At 41.0% G+C, this 20,379-nt stretch overlaps 1 protein-coding gene across 29 annotated transcripts in view; it reads right to left on the bottom strand.

Annotated features, from left to right (window-relative positions):
* The window catches only part of SIDT1 (SID1 transmembrane family member 1), a 104,557-nt gene that overhangs the window by 63,656 nt on the left and 20,522 nt on the right, over nucleotides 1–20,379 (bottom strand). For 26 of the 29 annotated variants that reach the window (NR_136282.2, NR_136283.2, NR_136281.2 and 23 more), the window contains exons 2-3: nucleotides 6,915–7,036; nucleotides 5,746–5,916 (exon numbers count right to left, since the gene is read on the bottom strand). Coding sequence is in view for 19 of the 29 variants with exons in the window: in XM_047448376.1 (XP_047304332.1) it covers nucleotides 5,746–5,916; nucleotides 6,915–7,036 (293 nt within the window). In the remaining 10 variants the exon portion in view is untranslated. Of the gene's footprint in view, nucleotides 1–5,745; nucleotides 5,917–6,914; nucleotides 7,037–8,137; nucleotides 8,218–20,379 lie in introns of those variants that run through there. The other 3 variants (NM_001322297.2, XM_017006666.2, NR_136280.2) reach the window with 2 other exon arrangements.

The following is a 20,379-nucleotide window of genomic DNA, read 5'->3' as shown; positions in this document are numbered from 1 at the left end:
CTCAGATCATCCCTTAAATGAGAATGTTACCCACAGCCTTGTTCTTGATCAACTCGTTTTACAATGTGTATCCAGCTGCTGTAAATACCACAATAATGCCAGTGAATCTCAAGTCCCTGTGTCCAGCCCAGGGCCATCTCCTGAGCCCCAGTCACAGAATAGTGATCCCCTGCTGGGCTTCTGCACTTGACCATCCCTTGAACACCTCAAACTCCACATGATAAAAGGGAATGTGCTGTCACTTCCCTGATCCTGACCTACTATGTCCCTTTGTCAGTAAACCTCACCAGACTTCTGACATCACTGTAGGAGTCATGTTGGACTACCCCCTTTCTATCGCTTTCCACATTTGATTAATCACCAGGTCCTACTCATTCTATTAGTGTAAAAGTAACCTGCCACCACCTGGAGCACCATGTTTGCTCAGTACAGCATCATTAAGAGAGAAAAAAAAAAAAAGGAATGTAAATCTTTATTGTAGTCTCCTCCAAAATACCAAAGGTAATTATATAGTATGACACATAGCAAAATGGTCTAAAATTCTCTTATCCACCCATTTCTTCAAAAAATCTATTACTTTTCACAGCATAGTAGCTGAGCTATCTCACTCACACACTCTCTCCTCTTAAAACAGACTCAAGATCCCTACTTAGAAGGCTAGAGGAGGGCTGAAGGCTGCAAGTATTCATGGAGGACTATAAATTTTATTCTGCCACATATATTTGCTGAATTATGAATTATCTCCATGTGTACTATTTGACTCGTTTTCTCCCTTACAACCTTGTTGCTGCCATACACATTCAAGTTCTAATCATTTTTCTTTCTTCTCCATTCAGATAACTTTTCATTTGCCTGTTTGTCCCTCATCTTTCATCTCTGTAATTCCTCTTCCACACTGCCACTCATGTCATCTCTAGAAATCAGATCTCTGAATGCTATCCTGTTGCTCACAATCCTTTAATGGCTCCCATAATCTGAAAGACGAAGTTCTACTCCATAGTCTAGCATCCAACATCTTAAAGATCAAAGTTGGGCACTGCCTGTTTCTCCAGCCCTATCTCCTGTAACCCTGTCTTGCCCAGGCATCATGTGGACCAGGCTTCTTGATGTGTTCCTGAAGACTGCACTAGTCTGCCTAACTGTAACTCAGAGCTCTCCCCTAAGTGTCATGTTAGTATACATCCATCACTTTGCCAGATATCTGTATTTCAAACCCAACCTGTCCCAAAGTGAAGTTATCATCTGTTCTTTTTCTTATCAAAATTCTCATTTTCTCTTAGTGGCCCCACCATCTACAAGCTACACTGGCATTATTGACTCTCTCTTTTCTTTTTCCCCTCATATCTAATAAAATTTCAGCAATTTCACCTCTCCTAATATTTCAATTCACCTCCTCATTATTTATCTTGACTACTGCATCAGCCTTCTAACTTCTCTGCATCCTGTTTTGTCCTCTTCAAATCCATTCTCCACACAACTATCACAATATAGACAACTGTTTAATTTTTTTTGTGTGTGTGTGAGACGGAGTCTTGCTCTATGGCCCAGGCTGGAGTACAGTGGTGCAATCTCAGCTCACTGAAACCTCTGCCTCCTGGGTTCAAGTGATTCTCCTGCCTCAGCCCCCCAGGTAGCTGGGATTACAGGTGTGCACCACCATGCCCAGCTAGTTTTTGAATTTTTTAGTAGAGACGGAGTTTCACCATATTGGCCAGGTTTGTCTTGAACTCCTGACCTCAGGTGATCTGCCCGCCTTGGTCTCCCAAAGTGCTGGGATTACAGACGTTTAAATTTCCTAATGCCCCTTCTTAAGATCCTCCTATGCCATGATCACAGGCTTGCCTGTTTCTGTAGCCATCTGCTGTTGCCTGCCTGCAATTTCACACTCTAGCAATACTAAACACCTGGGCACTGGAGTGTAGAAAAAGAGTAGTGGCACAGTTTATGTGTGTGTGTGTGTGTGTGTGTGCAGAGGATAGGTAGATGGCACCAAGCAATGCTTTAAAGTAGAGTTGTTTCAATTTTAAAGGAATTTTGCAGAGATGGGGTCTCATTTTGTTGCTCAGCCTAGAGTGCAGTGGCACAATCATGGCTCACAGCAGCACAAACTCCTGGGCTCAATCAGTCCTCTTGCCTCAACCTCCTGAGTAACTGGATCTACAGGCACACACCATCATGTCTGGCTAATTTTTTTGGTTTTTATTTTTTTAGAGACTATGTTGCCTAGGCCAGTCTTGAACTCCTGGCCTTAAGTCATCCTCCTGCCTCAGCCTCCTGAGTAGCTGGAATTACAGGCGGGAGCCACTGTGCTCTGCTAGTAAAGTTGGATTTAAATAAATGTTTCATGGAATTGAGAGACATATTTAGAGAAACACAAACAATTGGGAGGACAGTTTTAACTAGAAAGTAGAAATAGTTCATTATGGCGAGAAGAGCGCAGAACTGGGAGTCAGAAGTACAATTTAGTCTTGATTTTGCCCTTTCCTAGCTGTGTGAATTTGAACAAGTCACTTAACTTCTCTGGGCATCAGTTTGCTCATCTGTAAAAATGAGGCAGGTGGATTAGATTCCCAAAGATCCTTCAGTTCTTAAAATGTATGATTCTAGGGGAAAAAAGTTCCCAAAATGTGTTCCATATACATTATAGGCTGCCACTCAAAAACATACAATAGAAACTTCAATCTTAGAGATTTCGAATTACTTCTTCAGTGTTTCTCTCAATGCCTGAGCCCAGTTCTCATCACAATCCTCAGCTCTTCCTCATTACCATCATCCTCTGGTTCCAGGTTACCAGCAAGGCTGGTGTGTAAATAGTGATTTTGAAATGCTCTTAAAGTCTGGTTGCTGAGGCTAAGTCATATTATGAGGTAAAAACAGAAAGCAACATGAGGGAATAGATTTGCAGTTTCACCAGCGTGCAAATAATTCATTAACACTCGCTACAGTTGTGACCTTATGACTTTATTTTCACAGAATTCAGTTCTCAAAAGGTTCTAATAACCTTACAGAAGACCATTCCTACAATTCAAATATGCTACCACCAAGTGACACTGCCACTGCTACCAGGTGACACTTGATTGATTGATTAAAGACAGAGATCAGTTGATAAAGGCAAGGCTTCTCTGCAGTTCAAACTGCACTCTGTGCAAGTACTGTAACACGTTATCACTCCCATCAAATGTGTAACTCCCATCAAATGTGTATTCCCATATGGATAAATATCACAAGTAGATTTTTAAATTATTAAATTAGGCCAGGCACAGTTGCTCATGCCTGTAATACCAGCACTTTGGGAGGCCGAGGCGGGTGGATCGCTTGAGCCCAGGGGTTCGAGACCAGTCTGGGCAACATGGTCAAATCCGTCTCTACTAAAAATACAAAAATTAGCCGGGCATGGTGGCACACACCTGTAATCCCAGCTACTTGGGAGGCTGAGGCACAAGAATCGCTTGAACCCAGGAGGTGGAGGTTGCAGTGAACCAAGATCATGCCATTGCACTCCAGCCTGGTGATACAGCAAGACTCGGTCTCAAAAAATATATATTAAATTAAACTGAAGCACCATATTTAGAAATCATTTTAGGGTAGTGGTTCGCAACACTGGCTGCATGTTAGAAACACCTGGGGAACTTTAAACACTTTACCAGTGCCCAAACCTCTCCCCTACAGCCTCTGATTTAATTGCTCTGGGTGGATCTTATTCACCAGAGAATCTTTTTCTCCTTGTTCTTGTGGAGGATAGAGTGTCCTTTGCTCTTAAAATTATCATGTCACCTTTTTCAACACCAGGATTAATGGAGGGACTTGAGAAAAAATGCTGTGACTCCTTCTCCATCCTTCTGACCACTCATTCATTTATCTGTCCACGTTTCCGTATGGGTATAACACTATGTCAAGGAGGGTAGAGAGGACCAAGATAAATATTTGAGTCCTATTAGCAACTCTACTGGCTACAGATGTTTTTATAAACTGCCTTAAATTTAAGGAGAACTTTACTGTAGAACCAAACTTTCTGATCAGAAAAATAAGCTGCAAAACAGTGACATATACGATTTTGAAATATTCCGATTTTTTAAAAAATTAACTTTTTAATTGAAATATAACAAACATGTATTATAGAAAAGTGTGCAGTTATAAGCATATATTTGAATAAATTATCGTCAAACATAGCCATGTACTTCTCTCCTCCCCAAAGGTACCACTATTCTGACTTCCAGCATCACAGAATAGTTTTGCCTGCCTTTAAATTTTATATAAATGGAATAAAATAGCATACATTTCTTTTGTCTGGCTTCCTTTTTTTTTTTTTTTTTTTTTGAGAGGGAGTCTCACTCCTTCACCCAGGCTGGAGTGCATTGGCATGATCTCGGCTCACTGCAACCTCCACCTCCCAGGCTCAAGCATTCTCCTGCCTCAGCCTCCGGATTAGCTGGGACAACAGGCGCCTGCCACCATGCCCAGCTAATTTTTTTTTTTTGTATTTCTAGCACAGAGGGGTTTCACCATGTTGGTCAGGCTGGTCTCGCTCTCCTGACCTCAGGTGATCCACCTGCTGTGGCCTCCCAAAGTGCTGGGATCACAGGCGTGAGCCACCGCACCTGGCCTGGCTTCTTTTTCTCAACATTGTGAGATGTATCCATGTTGTTGGGTATAGCAATAGTTTGTTCATTGTTATTTTTGTGTAGTATCCCACTGAATGAATACCACAATGAGATATCTAGGAGTTGGGTATACATCAAAGGAGTGGAATGTAGGCCTTTCAAATTATAGCAATTTGGTAGTTGTAATGGAATCACATTATGGTTTTAATTTACATTTCTGTTTTTTTTCTTTTCTTTTCTTTTCTTTTCTTTTTTTTTTTTGAGACAGAGTCTTGCTGTGTTGCCCAGGCTGGGGTGCAGTGGCGCGATCTCGGCTCACTGCAAGCTCCGCCTCCCAGGTTCATGCCATTCTCCTGCCTCAGCCTCCCGAGTAGCTGGGATTACAGGTGCCCGCCACCGTGCCTGGCTAATTTTTTGTATTTTTAGTAGAGATGGGGTTTCACTGTGTTAGCCAGGATGGTCTCGATCTCCTGACCTCGTGATCCACCTCCTCGGCCTCCCAAAGTGCTAGGATTACAGGAGTGAGCCACCACACCCGGCCTTAATTTACATTTCTTATAGCTAATGAGGTTGTGTTTTTTTGACTATTTGGGTAGCTTCTTTAGTGAAGTGTCCAAATCTCATGATTATTTTTTTGATGAGCTTGCCTGTTTATTTTAGTTTTTTAAAAACAGGGGGAAAATAATACTAGTCACACCAAGAAAGGACAAAGCCACATTCCTACCTATGTTACTAACCTGGAAGGAGAAAACAGGAGTAATAATAAGGACAAGAAAAATAGCTTAATGTCTTCCCTAGAACTAAAATAAAACTTCCTTCAAGAGTGTGGCACTGGTTGGGAATACAAAAGTATTTAGTCACCAGTCATTCTTGCCTATACTTCAGGCTGGACAGGTTCCTCACACTGATCCCTGAAAACAGATTCACCTGTGAGGTCAACCACTCTTACCTTCTGCACTCCCACTCTTTTGTATAGATTAAGGCCCTGCTGCTCAGTTATGGGCAGGAGAGTTCAGGAAGTGCTAAAATCATATGCTAAGTGGATAATTTCCTTCCAGAGTACCAGTCTGTAAGGATGGAAGATGAATTGAGCATCCACAAGCACAGGAAACACAGACAGGTAAACAGAGAAAGTCCCGCTTACCGGAGCTGGAAGTGCTTCAGCTTGGTAACTAGCAGTTTGTACTGAGCACCCAGGGGTGCCATGGATGCGACATCTACAAATATCAGTTGCTGCAAGGGTCCCGTCTCATTGGTTGCTTCTGAGGGACATAAGGTGCGGCTCACTTCTTGATAGTTGTAGCTCCTCTGGTATCTGAAGCAGCCAATATAGGGGAAAAAAATAAACAAGGACAAGAAAGGGACTCAGTGAATGAGCAGGGAAAGGAGCCTATCTCATTTTGCTTCTCTCCAAATTCATTTTCAGGTCCTTATGTTTTGAATTTTAGACTGGAACTATCAATAGTAATTTTAGAACTAGTGTTGTTGGCATTGGGTTGTATGATATAATAACAGGGATGTGAGGACTGTTCTGTGCTGACTAGTTCACTTAAGCGGTATCTACATTACGCTAAGCCATTCTCCTAATTCAATGAGGAATAAATATCCAATTTGATGGGGAAACTGTCATGATAAAACAACCAGCTGATTCCATTTTCATCTCTTCAAGCTACTGCTAAAGTAGAGAGTAAAGAAAGCCCTGAGTCCAAGTCAAAGCTAACAGAGTTAGTATTTCAGTCCTCGAGTTCTTCAACCTTTAAAAAGAATGTTATGTGTCCATTTTGCATGCCTTCCAAGTTTTTTTTATTAGTGCAGTAGTATCTTATACACTTCTCCCCTGAAAAAATAGAAACTCGAGGAGGGCAGGCACTTTGTTGTTTTTCCACTGCTGTGTCTCCAGCACCCAACACTTAATAGGGCTCAATAAATATTATTGAATGAAGAATGCAAACACACGATGGGCATTTTGAAGAACAAGGGAAGAGTTACTCACTTATGTTAACTGCTAGACATAGCCCATTGGAGGGCTATTGGTTGACCCAGTACCCCAAAGCTACAGAGGATCACGGTATGTTTTTAAAATGGTAAAAGCTCTTCTAGGTGTGGCCAATCTAGGTAGAGTGCTCATCTAATAATTGAACAGAGCGAACAGGTCAGGGCATGCACCATGATCATTATTTGCACCCCGTATGCAGAATGTCTTGACATTCCAAATGTCTGATTTTTCCTTTCAATAGGGAAAAGACCAATTAAGTTCTAGGACATTGAAGAAAACTAAACATAGTGAAGTTGCCTGGAAGAAAACCCACTTACAGTCCTTGGAAGAGCAGAGGAACCTGCCAGGACAGCACCTCTTTCTGCTGGCGAACCACAACAAGGACCGGGTAGTTGAGATTCTCAGAGGAACTGTTCACATACACCCTCACGGCTGTCACCTGCATGGCAGGGTAGAAAGAGGTAATGCAAAACGTGCACATGCACACATGCAAACACACACACACACACACACACACACAAACACACACAAACACACACACCATAGTTGCCATGTGAGGCTCAGAAACACTTTAATTTCTGATATTTGCTTCTCATGATAGGTAATCCAAATGCCCCAGTTGTTTCTCCTCATTCATATTGTAACCAGAGTGGGTCTCAACCTTGATTGCACATTGAAATTGCGTGGGGAGAATTTTTTAAAATGATGCCTAAATCCAACCTGCCAAAATTCTGATTCAGTTAATTTTAGATGAGACCAAATTATAAAGTCTTCAAACAGCAAGCTGAGGAGTTTGAACGGAGCAGGCAACACAAGATTTTGAGAATGAACCCAGAACAGAAAAAGAAGGATACGGATGTGCTTTTCTTCTTATTTGAATATAAATGCTAAAGATACAAATATCTAAAAATAAAACAACACACACAAAGCCACCCTCCCTCAAAAACAAATCCCATGAGAACTTCAATTGCTGAAAAACTTCAATTTTGGGTTGGTAAATCATTCTGTGTTTCAAATCAAAATGTTATGACCACATTTTATTAAAGCCTAACAGATGGCCTGATGTTCCCACCAACAATAAATCATGACGCTTCCCCAGAACAGACATCACAGGGCTGAGTAATCTTCTCTTTCCCTTGCTCTAAGGTATAAATCAATCCTTGACACAAAATGCTTTTTTATATCAGTAACACTATGGGTCTTTCTGAATACACACATATCAACCCAATAATTTAACCCTATTATGGTTATTTTAAAGACAGGAAAGTGAATGTAACTTTGGATTTAGATAGTGTTGGTGTTTTCTTCCTCTCTCTCTTTTTTTTTCTTTCTTGAGACAGAGTCTCCCTCTGCTGCCTAGGCTGGAGTGCAGTGGCATGATCTTGGCTCACTGCAACCTCCCAGGTTCAAGGAATCCTCGTGCCTCAGCCTCCCAAGTAGCTGGGATTACAGGTGTGCACCACCATGCCTGGCTAATTTTTGTATTTTTAGTAGAGATGGGGTTTCACCATGTTGGCCAGGCTGGTCTCGAACTGCTGACCTCCAGTGATCTGCCCGCCTCAGCCTCCCAAAGTGCTGGGATTACAGGTGTGAGCCACTGCGCCTGGCCTTCTTTCAATTCTTATAATACCATAGGCAACATGTAAGAGAACAAAATAGAAGAGAGATAGGGTAAAAGCAACAACAACAACAACAACAAAATTTAATCTTCCACATGAGATTTTGTTTTTCTAATGCCTTAGTATTCTCTTGAAAACTTCTTTATTAGGAGAAAGAAAATGAAACAAGAAAATCCTGCAATTAAGCCCTAATGATCTATCGCACATTCAAAATGGAAATTAGGAGGAAACAGAATAGCATAGATGTCATATATTGCCATTTGGTTCTCATATCATTTTCCTTAAGCCACTGCATTGCTTTTTAAATGTTAAAATAGCCCAAGAGTAACTTACTAATTTGATAGGAAGTGCTTGCCCTGAAGGGAGAGTTTTCTTGTGCCTACACTCTACATGTTTCCATGGAAATTATGCTGCAGCTGAAAATTGCCACCATATCTCTAGCGAGATCTCTTTCTCGAGCTCTGAGTCTTCCACAGGCACCTCACACTCAAAGCGTCTGAAATGGAATTGATCACTCCCTTCACTCCTAACTTTAATTTCTTCTGAATTCCCTTGAATGTTGAATGGCCCCACCATGCAGCCATTCATGTAAGCCTGAAACTGGAGATTCATCCTTGATTCCTGCTTCTTTAGCTCCTTTGCTTCTATCTCCTTAATACTGTTCACACCCAGATCCTCCCCTCCGCCCCCAGTGACACTCTCATAGCTCAGTCCTGCATCACAGTGACCCTCCTTGGCAGCCCGCTGTCTAGTCTTCCGACTCCAGGGCTGTACTTGCTAGAAGGGCAGTTTCATCTGTCATTCCTCATTCCCCTGTTGAAAAAGCCTTCAGTGGCTCTGAAGAATTTTCAGATTTACCCCAAAGTAACAAGAATAATATAATGAGTGCTCATGTACTTATCATCCAGTTTTAATAATTGTTAACAAATGTATTTTATTTCATTTATACCTCCTATTTCCCATACACCCCCACCACTGGATTATTTGAAAGTACACACCAGGCCAGGCACGGCGGCTCACGCCTGTAATCCCAGCACTTTCGGAGGCCGAGGTGGGTGGATCACCTGAGTTTGAGACCAGCCTGACCAACATGGAGATACCCAGTCTTTATTAAAAGTACAAAATTAGCTGGGCGTGGTGGCGCATGCCCGTAATCACAGCTACTCGGGAGGCTGAGGCAGGAGAATCGCTTGAACCCAGGAGGCAGAGGTTGCGGTGAGCTGAGATCATGCCATTGCATTCCAGCCTGGGCAACAAAGAGTGAAACTCCATCTCAAAAAAACAAAACAAAAAAAAAAGAAAAAGAAGTACACACCAAAGATCGTATCATTTATCTGCACCACAGTTCAGTCTATATCTCTAAGTCACGAAGCCTTCTCTTTTGAACTTAAATACAACACCATTATGCCACTTGATAAAATTAATAATCCTAAAAATTACTAACATCCACATAGTGTTTGAATTTTTTCAATTGTTTCAAAATTTTTTTCCAGTTAAAAAAAATTGGGCACAAACAAGACCCATACATTGTATTTGGTTCATATGTCTTTTGAGTCTCTTTTAATGTAAAGGGTACTTCTCTCTCCTTTTTGGGAACACTTGTTTGTTAAAGAAAGCAGCTCACAAAACAGCAATACAAATCTGTAGAAGAACCCACGTTCCGGATTTTACGGATTGCACCCCGCAGTGTCATTGAACAGGTTTTGTTGATCTCCTGTATTGCCTGCAAACTGGTAGTTAGATCTAGAGGCTTCATTAGATTCAAGTCGTCAAATTTCTCAATCTTTTTCCTGAATTTTGAGTCATAGTCAAGGAAGTTTTCACCATTCCTGGTTACTGAAGAATTTGCTCCTATTTTCTTTTAGTATTTTATGGTTTCATCCTAAAAAAATTATTTAAACCTCTAATCCGTTTGCAATCAATACTCATATGTGGTATAAGGAGTGATTGCAATTTTGTCTTTGCTTCATTTGGCTCTCCAGTTATCCCAACATCACTTACTTAAAAGTTCGCCTTTTCTCCACGGAGTTGAATCCCTCAAGCCTCTTCTTGATGTCTTCTGTGCCTTCGTCTCTAGTTTCTTTGCCTACCAACAGATCCACTGTCTTGTCATGTCCAATTACTGTTTCTCAAAAGGGTTATGTCCCCAGTGTTGACTGGCCTTGGATATCTTGCTCATTCTTAAAGTCTTCCTTTGGGAAGTCTTCCCTAACATTTTCCTACCCCACTAAATAAGTGGTGTCCCTCCCTTTTGCGGGTGTGCTGTGTGGCCTCTGATTACCTCTATATGGTATCTCTACCACATATAGCAACCTAAAAATGTAGTCAACTTTATTACTTTTTCTTGGCCATTTCTTTTATCACTTAAATTGAAATATAATTCATACATCACACAATTCATTCTTTTAAAGTGCATAATTCAGTAGTTTTTAATATATTCACCAAGTTGTGGGACCATCACCAATGTCTAATTCTAATATTTTTCTCACCCCGAAAAGAAACCTGTACTCATTGGCAGTCACTCCTCATTCCTTCCTTCCCCCAGTCCCTGGAAACCACTAACCTTATTTCTGTCTTTATGGATTTGCCTATATTTCAAATAAATGGAATAATGTATCCTTCTCTATCCAGCTTATTTCCTTAGCATAATGTTTTGAAGGTTCATTCATGTTGTAGCATGTATCAGTACTTCATTCCTTTTTATTACTAAATAATATTACATTGCATGCACATACCACATCCTGTTTATCCATTCTTCAGTTGATGGACATTTGGGTTGTTTTAACTTTTTAGCTATTATAAACAATGTTGCTGTGAACATTTGTATACAAATTTTTGTATGAATGTATATTTTCAATTCTTTTGGGCATATGCCTATGAGTAGAATTGCTGGGAGACATGGTAACTCTATGTTTCACTTTTTGTGGAACTACCAAAATGTTTTCCAAAGAGTTACATCATTTTACATTCCAGTAATTTACCTAGCAAGCAATATATAAGGGCTCCAGTTTCTCTACATCCTTGCCAACACTTGTCACTATCTTTTTTTTTTGAATATAGCCATCCTAGTGGGTGTAAAGTTGCATCTCATTGTGGACCACATGATATTTAAACTGCTAGTTTACCTGCCTGGCTCTTCTAGGAAGCTGCAGACTTCATCTTTGGCATCCTTGGTGCCTGGCAGAATGCATTAGCTTAGAAGCAGACTCACTTTTGAGGCTGTAATACAGACACTCACCAGCATTATATAGCATGTGTTTTTAGAGCACACTTTGGTCTGGCTTAAAAGCTATAGCAGTCAGAACTGAGATAAAACCTAAGGAGTTTGTCTGCCTCCCTTTTTTCACCTAAGATGCAACCTCCTCCTCCCTTCTTAAGTACTTAATGTCAGATGGGATTTCCTTCCATCTTTTTTTCACACTTTGATCTAAGGCAAAGATTTTCAAATTTTAGTGTGCTTTTTAGCAAAGCAAATCCCTCAAGTCAACCCCCAGCGTTTCTGACTTGGCAGATCAAGAATAGAACTTAAAAATATAAATTTTTAGCAAGCTGCTGGGGGATTCTGATGTACATGGATGGGGACTAGACTTTGGGAAGGATAGTTCCAAAGAAACCATCTAATGGATAACTCCATTTGTCAGCAACTCGCCAACTGCCCATTATTCTGAGATGTACATCCATGAGATCACTAATGTTAGAGTTGGTCTGGAAGCTGGTGTTTCTTGAGGCTGACACTGGGCTGGCAGAACAGATGTATCACTGCCATGATTACCCCACTTCACTGTTCATCTCCACATCCTCATTTTATTCCTGGCCTGGCTTTCGCAATCCACTTACCTTTGTATTATTTAATAATGTTCTTACTAGTCATAATAAAAACAAACTCAGAGATACTGGCATAATAAATTGCGAAAAATATATTAGAGTAGGAGATAGAAGACATTGGGCAGTTTTTCAAGATGAACAGATAGTGGATTACCCCCAGGAAAGGATAAAGAGCCCTGATCAAAATTTGCTTTGCCTTTCCTGAGGCTAATATGCAGCTGAGAAAATTGGATCACATTTGCAGCAGCGAAGAAAGCTGTGTAAAGGCAAAACTAAATGAAGGACAGGGTATTGACCATGCTTAATGGGCCCTGACACCTTGTGAAAGGCCATTCCTAAGAGCTAAGATTTTTCCTCTTGTTGCTTTTTCCTGTTGTCATGACAACAAGAACACTTTTATTGCATAAATCTTGTCTGTTTCCTGTGTTTACTACAAGCAGGAAATTGAATTATAGCTAGCTAAGAGAGATTTATTTAAGTACTTCCATCTCTGATATTATATAGATCACAGTTATGAAAGGTCTTAAAGCTTAGAGACTCTCTTTTCAATCTTTCAGCATGTCAGTAGGGAAAGGTTCAAAATTATAAGGAATATATTTCTGTTCCATAAAAGAATGGAAATGAATTCAATTCAAAAATCTAGTTTATTTTTGCTAAAATAATGAGACTATAGCCTCTATTATTTGGAATATTAGATTAAGAATCAGAGATTATTGATTTCCATTATTCAATACACCACTGTTTTCCCGTATGATCTTGGAAAACTGACTCCACTTGTAAAACAGCTACAACAGTATCTGCTGATGGTCCTTTTTTCAAATGTTTAACTGTTTGAGTAACTGTGCTGTGTTTGGTTGTGTTCGCTGGGTGTACCTCTACAGCTCCTCCTCGCTCCCTCCCTCCCATCTTTCCCATGCTCCCACTCTCATCCATCAAACATTTACTGAGGATTTGCCCTGAGTCAGGAGCTGTGGGAGGTGCTGGGGATATTCTAAAGGCAACTGTGCCCTCGAGGAGGCTCGCAATCTAGTCAGAAAGACAAATGGAAAAAGCACCAATAACTGCATAATGTGATGAGTATGATGGTAGCAATTTGAGCAAGTACTGTGGGTACACAGAGGACAACGTGATTACCCCCAGGGGGAATCAGGGAAGCAGCACAGGCTTCCTACAAGTTGGGCTCTTCCACATAGGTCCTGCCATTGCCTGCTTGATGCATAAGACCTCCACTCGTAGTGTTAGAAAACCTTACATCTGGGAAGGCGCTTAGGGAGACCATCTACTCCAACCATCCCACGTACAGAGGAGGAGCCTGAGATAGACATGATGGCACCTCTCCAAGGATACTCAGCGATGGAACAATCATGACTAGAACCCAAGCCTGTGCTCCAATCCCCATGCAATGCTTGGTCAGAATATGCTGCCATCACTATTTTGAATCTTTGGCTCCACTGTACCCAACTCTGGATCATCTATTATTCTACTATGAAATGAAGAAGCTATATAAACACCATACAGGAGGGGAAGAGACAAGCCACAGACTAGGGATGTTTGTACATGTAAAACAGACAAAATATCAGTATCTTGAATATATAAGGACCCTTAAAACGCATAAGAAAAAAACCACCACCAATGGAAAAAGTGGGTTAAGGATATAAACAGAATGACCAGGCCAGGTGTGGTAGCTCACGCCTGTAATCCCAGCACTTTGGGAGGCTGAGTTGTGTGGAACCCTTGAGCTCAGGAGTTCGAAACCAGCCTAAGCAACATGGTAAAACCTCTGTCTCTATTTAAAAAATACAAAAATTAGCTGGGTGTAGTGGCGTGCTCCTGTAGTCCCAGCCACTCAGAAGGCTGAGGCAGGAGCATTGTTTGAGCCCAGGATGCAGAGGTTGCAGTGAGCCCAGATTGGGCCACTACACTGCAGCCTGGGCAATGGGAGTGAAAACCCTGTCTCAAAAAATAAAAAAAAAAAAAAATAAATAAAAAGAATGACCAAAGAACCTGTAAAAAGATATTCAGCACTTACACTCATCAGAAAGGTAAAGCCTCACAGGTATTGACAATACCATGTTTGCAACATGTAGAGAAATAGAAATTTGCATATTGCTAATGAAAATGTTAGTTGGTGCAATGACTTCAGTCAGCAAGTTGCCAATATCTACTACAGTTGAAGATGAGTTCACATTACATTTAAGCATTTCCATGACTAAGTTTAGGCACAAGAAAATTCTTGCATATGTACAAGGAGTCATAAACAAGAATGTTCACTGCAAGCATTGGTTGCAACAATAAAATTTGGAAACAACCTGAATGACAACCAAATTAAATAATAGAAGTATGAAGAGATAAATTATATTCATGCAATGAAATGCTACACAGTGGTTAAAAGTAAATGAACTGAAATGTGGATCAGTATGGATAAATCTCAAGAAGATAAATTGAGAGGAGCAGGTTGCTGAAGGAAACATACTTAATTTTCTCATTTATTTAACTTTGTAAACAAGGAAAACAATACAGTATTTTTATTTGTACATCTTCAGTAAAATATATATACTCAGAAATGATAAACATCAAATTTAAAATAATGGATTTCAAGAACTTGGAAGGATCTGAGACTTTACCCCTTTGCCACAGCGTCATCGATACTGGGAGAAGACACAAGTCTCCTGGGTTGGAAACAAACAATTTAATGACTCTTATTAGGGTAAGCAGCATTAGCTTCACTTCTTCTGGTCCCCAAGTACTATGAAGGTGACATGGATGGGTCCAGATGGATACCTACCTATATGCAGGGTGTTGCACTACAGGAGAGGAACCCTGAGCTTAGAAAACCCAAGTCTTTCATAACAGGCAGTAAGTCTGTCTTTCCTTTACTCCACGAGGAGACATTGTTTGCTTTCTGAGGCTGTTTGCTATGCAAATATCCTTGAAATGATAGCATTTAAAAAACTTCAGTTGGTGCCTTCCTGTAAGATGTGCAGAAATCAAAAGAACCTATGAAGGACTGCCTCCCCAAAATGGTCACTTTTGGGGATGGAGGAAGAGGATCAGGGTGAGAAAAAACAGGAAACAAATTATCCTTTTATTTCTTAAGCTGAGTATGAGACACATACATGCTTGTTACATTATTTTCTATACTTGTTTAAATGTCTAGAATGTTTCCTAGTAATAATAAAAAAGAAGCCATGATGTGCTGGCCTTTGTGTTTGCCCAGTTCTGAGTGACAACCCTCATTTTATAAAGGCTCCTTGTTACTCACAGGTGTGGCAGAACCCAAAACATATTCTCATTGCTCTCCTGGCTCATTTGCCATGGTCTACACTTACTCTAATTTCATAGATCAGATCCCCCTCTCTCTCTGTCTGTCTGTCTCTCTCTCTTTCTGTCTCTCATATGCAAATGGAAACTATATTTCAAGATGTGGTGCTGAAGAAGCACTAACTGCCTCTCTTTAGGTCTCAGTCAGCTACAGAACTTTGCATTGTCTTTGACCTCATTCACATAGCTCATTTCTCCATTTCTCTGCCCTGGAAAAGAAATATAGCCAGGGGACCCAGGTGAAGTTGGTATTACATTGAACAGTAATGTGCAAGGCTTGATTCTGTGTCATCAGGTTAGTTTCCTAGGATGCCGTAACAAGGTACCACAAAGTAGGTGGCTTGAAACAACAGAAAGTTATTCTTTCACAGTTCTTCAGACTAGAAGTCTGGAATCAAGGTGTTAGCTGGGCCATGCTCCCTCTGAGACCTTCCTCTGGATAGAAAACTTCCTTGCCTCTTCCTGCCTTCTGGTGGTGTCCATGAACCCTTGGCATTCCTTAGTGGGTGAATCACTGTTTGCTAATCACTCCCTTCTCTGCCTCTGTTGTTACATGGTGCCCCCTCTGTGTGTCTCTGTCTTCACATGCTATTCTCTGTGTGTGCCTGTGTCCAAATTTCCCTCTTCTTATAAGTATTTCAGTCATTGGATTGGGGCCCTAATAACTGCATCTTAACTTGGTCACAACTGCAAAGATGATACTTCCAAGTAAGGTCACATTGATAGGTTCTAGGGGTTAGGACCTCAACATATATTTTTGGGAAAACAAATCAACCCATAATATTAGGTTTGTAGGATTTTAAAGCAATGACTCATTCTCCAAAACTCTACCTTTCCCTTACTGTCATCTTATCTTCAGCTTTTACTTACTTGCTGTTAAAGTGAATTAACATGGAGGCCAGGCCTAAAGAATTCCTGAGCAGACAAAGCCAGTTAGGCCTCATAAATGTGCTGAACCTTGCTCGACTTGCAAACATAAGCTGGGATTACGGGCGCCTTGGCTCACGCCTGTAATTCCAGCACTTTGGGAGGAGGTGGGTGGATCACCTGAGGTCGAGACCAGCCTGACCAATATGGTGAAACCCGCCTCTACTAAAAATACAAAAATTAGCTGGGCGTGGTGGTGGGCACCTGTAGACCCAGCTACTCGGAAGGCTGAGACAGGAGAATGGCTTGAACCCAGGAGGTGGAGATTGCGGTGAGGCGAGATCCTGCCACTGCACTCCAGCCTGGGTGACAGAGCCAGACTCTATTTCAAAAAAAAAAAAAAAAGAAAAAGAAACTTAGGGCATACCAATCAGAAGCCACAGACTAACTTACAGCTCTGTAACTAGGAACTTTCCAGCAGGATAAACCAAGTCAGGCAGTTGTGTAACTGTAACTAATAAAATATTTTCTTATCTTCATTTCTATTTTCACCCTATCAAAGCCTTCCCCTTGTGTTCCCTTGGCTGAGCCCAGGAAACCACTTCTGGTTTGGAGCTGCCTGATTGATGAATCTCTGTTTGGTCAAATACACTCTTTAAATTCTCATTGTGCTTCAATCTACTTTTTAGCACTGCCAAGACTCTTCATGGGATTGCATGTTACAGCTGGCTGAGCGAAGATGGGACTTCTAGGAGAGTCCAGTGACCGTTGTATAAAAACAGCTGCCCCTGAGCAAAGCAGCTCTGCAGTCCTGAATCCCTTTCTTATCAGAAGTTAGTAATTCTCATTATATGGAGCGTTTCATCCCAAGCTTTTCATAACTACTGCAGGGAGCTGAGCTACTTCCATCACAAGTTACACTTTTTAAAAAAAGATAAGCATGAAAATAATTTCTATAGTTATTGATGTGACTGTTTAAAAATTCCTGTGGTCTGATTCAGCCTTTAAAACTATCTTCTGTACATTTATGGCATAATAAAGAAAGATATATAGACCTAGATTTTATTTTGGGCACTAACACCTACTAGCTAGGAGGCCTTGGACAAATCACTTAAATTATCTCGCCCTCGGTTTCTTCAATTGTAGAATGGAAACAGTAACACCAGACTACCTATCTCCCTGGGCAGCTTCATCCATCAAATGGTGGATGATGTGGGTCTGTGTTTTGTGACTTCAAAGAGCACCAGGGAGTGCAGAAGGCAGAGCTGTTTCCATTCCCATCCATTCATTGGTCAATCAGTTATTGACTGTCTGTTTCCTGTGTGTGGAGACACACTTATAAGCCCAATCACCCCGGGCAAAAAAAAAAAAAAAAAAGATTATATAGTCCGTCTTATGTAGGATATTAATTTCTTTTCACAGCCTGGCTTCCAGCTAGCCTGGAAGAGCTCATTCATCTCATTGAAAAGTGAAGTTTATTCCTTGGGAGCTGTTTATTCCCTTTACTTTTAAATTCTCGGCATTTTGTACTCAGAGCACTTTTCCAGAAAGAAGCAGTTTCCAGACCTCATCTAGCCAATTTCATTATGCCCAACAATAAACTAGAATAAATATAATCATATAAGCCTTCATCCTTTTGTTTATAATCTAGATTTTATATTAAAATATTCAATTCAATAAAAACATGGAAAAACATTGAGGAGAAGGATAATCATTGGCAGGCCAAGAATACAGAAAAATGCACAGTCAGATTCTAGCTACTTTATGATGAACTTTGTTCAATCAATAAATGTTTGACTCCCTATCCTGTAAGAGGCATTGTTCTGGACACAGGAGATACATTAATCAGCAGTGTAGACATAGCACTCTTCTCTTTGACATCAGAAGTTTGCAAACAGGATGCCAATGAGCAAGCCATTATATTGACATTCAAGTTCCTGTGGGATTGCATGACATAGATTTTGGGGGGAATATTGTCCTAAAGGATGAGTAGGAATTAACCAGAAAAGTAGGAGGAGGGCAGAGCAAGATAAATTTCCAAACAAAGGCTACAGTGTAGTAGACATAAGGAAGGAGAAGAGAGACGGTGAGAGAAGCATATTTGAAGAATTAAGAGAAAATCAGTTTGGCTGGAGCATGAGGTACATAAAGGGCTATTATAACCCCAAAGAGTGTTATAAGTCATGTTGGGGCAGTTGGGACTTTATTCTCAGGACAAAAGAAAGCCTTTGGAAGGTTTTAAGTGCCATGACCATGTTGCCATGCTCATTTCTGGAAACTCAATGTTGCCTCAGTTGCTGCTGAACAGCTGCTTTCTTGCATCATTGGTTCCCAAGTCAAAGTCTAGGGAAAGCAGATCTGACTGGCAGCACCTTGGCCACATGCCCATGCCTGAGCTTGGTGGGGGATAAAAATAAGAGGGGGGATGAGAAAGTAAGTGCTTGGTGTTGATCTTCTGTCGCGAAAGGGGTTCTACCTCTAGCTAATACTCATGGAATGGAGAATTACCCCCAAACACATAAGAATGATGTATTAGTCCATTTTCATACTGCTGTGAAGAAATACCCAAGACTGGGTAATTTATAAAGAAAAAGAGGTTTAATGGACTTATGGTTCCACATGGCTGGGGAGGCCTCACAATCATGGCAGAAGGCAAAGGAGGAGCAAAGGCACGTCTTGCATGGTGGCAGGCAAGAGAGCGTGTACAGGGGAACTGCTCTTTATAAAGCCATTAGATCTTGTGAGACGTATTCACTATCATGAGAACAGCATGGGAAAAACCCACCCCTATGATTCAGTTACCTCCCATCGGTCCCCTCCCATGACACATGGGGATTACGGGAGCTACAATTCAAGATGAGATTTGGATGGAGACACAGCCCAACCATATCAAATGGGGTTCAGATTGGGCAGTCAAAACATGACTAAGCTCCCTTACACTTGGGACCCTTTTAACATGCAATAAATCGTGAGACTATCCTAAAGAGCAGTTGTTCCATCGAACATACTTTGGGAAATACTGTCCTGGGTATTTTTCACAGAAACTGGTGTGAAGATATTATGTCCTGAAGAATCTAACCAATTCTGGGCTACTTTTGCCTCTCACTCCAAGAGCTAATCATTTTCTGTCTCTCCAGGTTCCTCAGTTTTTGCATTGGTTTGCTTTTCTTTTTTGAGATGGAATTTCACTCTTGTTGCCCAGGCTGGATTGGAGTTCAATGGCATGATCTCAGCTCACTACAACCTCTGCCTCCTGGGTTCAAGCGATTCTCCTGCCTCAACCTCCCAAGTAGCTGGGGTTACAGGCATGCACCACTACGCCCAGCGAATTTTTTGTATTTTTAGTAGGGATGGTGTTTCACCATGTTGGTCAGGTTTGTCTTGAACTCCTGGCCCCAGGTGATCCGCCCACCTCAGCCTCCCAAAGTGCTGGGATTACAGGCGTGAGCCACCACGCCTGGCTTCATTGGTTTCTCAGTCCCACTGACCTCCCTCTGGCTTTAGACTTCCCCAGTCTTGGCTCCTGGAAGGCAGCCAACAGCCTGGGTTGGTTCAGCCTCCTCGCAGGTATCTGAATGTGCTCATCTTCTGTGCATGATTTCTTTTTTCCTCTTTATCTTTCCTGTCTCTTTCTATCTCTTGCTAGGTCTCATACTCCTGTGAGGGGATTGAAAAAGGAAAAATAATTATTTTTCTGGTTTGAGGCAGATCTCAAGTATCTATGCCCTGGATTTTATTTCTATACATTGCAGGCAAGTATCTTCTAGAGCTATTCTGGGGCCTACTTAATTAATGCTCTGAAGATGGAAAAGTAGTAGAAAATTATTGTTATGATTGTAAGTGTTGTGATCTGACACTTACCAGCCTTTTATTTTTGTGATATAATTTATTGCCAGACTGGAGCCATTTATAACTTTAAATACGTGTTTGTCAGGATTACCTAAAGGAAACTGCTTTCTAAATGAGCAAAACCAATCATCTGCAAACATCTTCCTCTTCAAAGACAACTTCTTGAGACAAGCAGAAGGGACTTCAGGGAAGGCCATGTTTAAGAGAGAAAACCATTTTTAATTGTGGAAAGAACATTGTGGCAGAGATGATCTATGCCACTTGAATTCACTCTGATGCTCAGAGGAGATGTTCCTCTTTT

Source organism: Homo sapiens, chromosome 3 (assembly GCF_000001405.40).
Source record: "Homo sapiens chromosome 3, GRCh38.p14 Primary Assembly".
Classification (NCBI taxonomy): Eukaryota; Metazoa; Chordata; class Mammalia; order Primates; family Hominidae; genus Homo; species Homo sapiens.
This window is presented reverse-complemented; position numbering and strand designations above follow the sequence as displayed.